The sequence below is a fragment of the Homo sapiens genome, chromosome 1, assembly GCF_000001405.40.
Source record: "Homo sapiens chromosome 1, GRCh38.p14 Primary Assembly".
NCBI classification, from domain to species: Eukaryota; Metazoa; Chordata; class Mammalia; order Primates; family Hominidae; genus Homo; species Homo sapiens.
Genome location: NC_000001.11, coordinates 17912813 through 17915373, shown reverse-complemented (window position 1 = coordinate 17915373; position 2561 = coordinate 17912813). Strand labels below are relative to the sequence as shown.

At 51.2% G+C, this 2561-nt stretch overlaps 1 annotated feature.

Moving 5' to 3' along the window:
- Positions 619-1818: an enhancer, noted in NCBI's record as "BRD4-independent group 4 enhancer chr1:18240050-18241249 (GRCh37/hg19 assembly coordinates)". NCBI's record gives its function as "activates an origin of replication core promoter dependent on BRD2, P300/CBP, MED14 and CDK7 cofactors, and independent of BRD4, by STARR-seq in HCT116 cells {active_cell/tissue: HCT116}" and the evidence as "EXISTENCE:reporter gene assay evidence [ECO:0000049][PMID:35650434]".

The following is a 2561-nucleotide window of genomic DNA, read 5'->3' as shown; positions in this document are numbered from 1 at the left end:
TATTTTCCTTTCTCAGATGGGAAGCCTGTTTGAAAAGCCCTTCTGCTGGAAAGAGGGCAGAACTGGAGCACCCAGAGACGGTCTTCGCCCTACCGCAGGGATCCACGCAGCAGCTTGAAGTGTGACAGGGGCAGACGGCCTTCCCAGAGCTGGGCAGAGAGAATCTGCAGGAGAAAGCGCATGGGACAGGAGATGCCTCCCTCAGAAGGAGAAACAGCGGCCTAGAGGCGAAAAGCTCAGGCTGTGGCCACTGGAGTGCCAGCTCTGCCCTTCAGTGCTCTAGCTACTCTGGGCATGTTCCTCAACTTTCCTGCGCCTTGGTTTCCTCACCTGTAAAATGGGACCATTCTATAAATTCAATGAGATCTTTGTCAACTACTCAGCCCAATGTCTAGAACACGAGCTCTCCAAAAAAGGGAGTTACTGAGGGAACTTTCATAGCCCACAGGGTCTGAGTGTAACTTCTGCCCATGTAAGGAGCCCTTTGGCAAACAAATGGCAGAGGCTCAGCAGGGACAAGCCACCTCCAAGGCTGGGAATGAGAACAGGACAGGGCATGGTGTTTCATCTGAACTCAGGGAAGCAGGAAGAGGCAGCCTATATGCCGTGGGAGATGCAGGGTCTATGACAAAGGAGGACAGGAGGCAGGGACCATAACTGACACCCCCCAGGACACCCATGACCTTGAACATAACAATCCCCACAGCTTGCATTATTTTTTGCACATTTAGACTATGGGTCAGGAATTGTGGTAAGTCCCTTGCAATTAACTCATTAATTCCTCACAACAGCCATGTGAAGTGAAGACTGTTTACACGCCTGTTTTTCAGATGAGGAAGATGAAGTATGAAGAGGGTAACTAAGTTCCCTGGGGCGTCACAGCTGCTGTGCCTCACTGAGCCTTGTAGACAGTGGGAGCTCAATCATGGCTGTGTCCTCCATGAAGCTGAGGATCAGAGCCCCATCACAAGCAGGCACTGATGGATGCGGTAAGAAGAATTTGGGTGTGGGCTACAGAAGCAGACCTAGATGCCGAGAGGGGGACTGAGCCATCCCCAAGGACTAAGACTCAGAGTAGCCAGTTGTAGTCATGGAAACCAAAGCTCTTGAGCACCCAGCGCTCACTGCATGCTAAGCGCTGCACCGAGTGCTTCCCATGAGCTAATTTAATCCTTACAGCAACTTTGTGAGGTGGGTCCTCTTATCACCTCCATTTTACAGATGAAGAAACTGAGGCACGGAGCGGATATGTCCCTTGCTCAAGGTGGAACCGGTTCCAGAGCCAACTCCTCCCCACTTGCTGTGCTGCCCAGATGTGGGAGGCAGTGTCAACATGAGCAGATGAAGGAGAGGCGGTCTGAGAGCTGTCAAGGGCTTGCAGTCATGACCTGAACCCACTGCAGAGAAATTCTTTCTGAAATTTTGTTGCTTAAGTTTGGGCAAGGCTGGGACACTGGGGACACGGGCTTGGGGGAGCACTGTCGGGTCACTTGGGGACCACAGCTTGGGGGTGTGCAGGTGGGAAAGCAAGGTGAGGACTTGGTGACCAGTGGGTCCTGCCCAGGACTTGTCCTGGGGCTGTTCTGTCATCAGTTGACCTTGGCTGGCTGGACTGAGGTGTCTCTGAGGAGGACTTTGAGTGGGACAGGCTGCTTGCTGGGGCTCTACCCTGTGCCCACCATGACCAGAATGCCAAGTCTGAGCCCAGGTGGTCTCAGCAGGGGAGGTAAGAATGGCCTGATGATGAAGCATGGGGTGGCTCTGTGCCAGGGTCACAGGCCACGAGGGAACAGCGTACCTAAGAGAGGACAAGGCAGGCAAAAGGTCATGGCAAAGAGTCCTTCTCGGGAACGCCTCCGTGGGGTTCCGTCATGACTCACAGAGACTTATTCACTCTCATGAGAACAGCATCGGAAAGACCCACCCCTCTGATTCAATTATCTCCCACCAGGTCCCTCCCACAACATGTGGGAATTATGGGAGCTACAAGATGAGATTTGGCTGAGGACACAGAGCCAAACCGTATCACTCCGTGTGAATACCTTACGAGGGTGCACAGAGAGTAATGGGGCCCCCAAAACATGGCTGGGGTGAGAAAGGAGGGCAGTAGGAGAGGGAAGAAAGAAAGAAGATAGGGGAGAGAAGGAAGGAAAGAGGAAAGAAAGGAAGGTGGCAGGGAAGGCAGGAAGCATCTCAAGACCAGAAAGTTGTATTTCTCTTTATGCCACTCCCCTCCCCAGATCTAGCTTTCAGCCTTGCACCTAATATGCCAACTGATCATTATGAGTTGAATCTGAGTGAGGCACGATCAACCTAAAATATCAGTGAATGGAATCCCATAGCAAACTTCAGCAGAAGTCCTCCTAATAATGCTATCCCCGTCTTCTCAAGCTATGAGTAATAGAGTTGTTGTTTTAAATACAGTCTATCCTGGCACTCCCCATAATTCAAAGTCATGTACATTTGTATGTTTGTCTGCTACACAAATAATCACATTAGGGCCTGCAGGAAGAAAAAAAGCTCTGTGCTGTCTTCAGAAAAAAAAGCAGGAGAATTAGAAG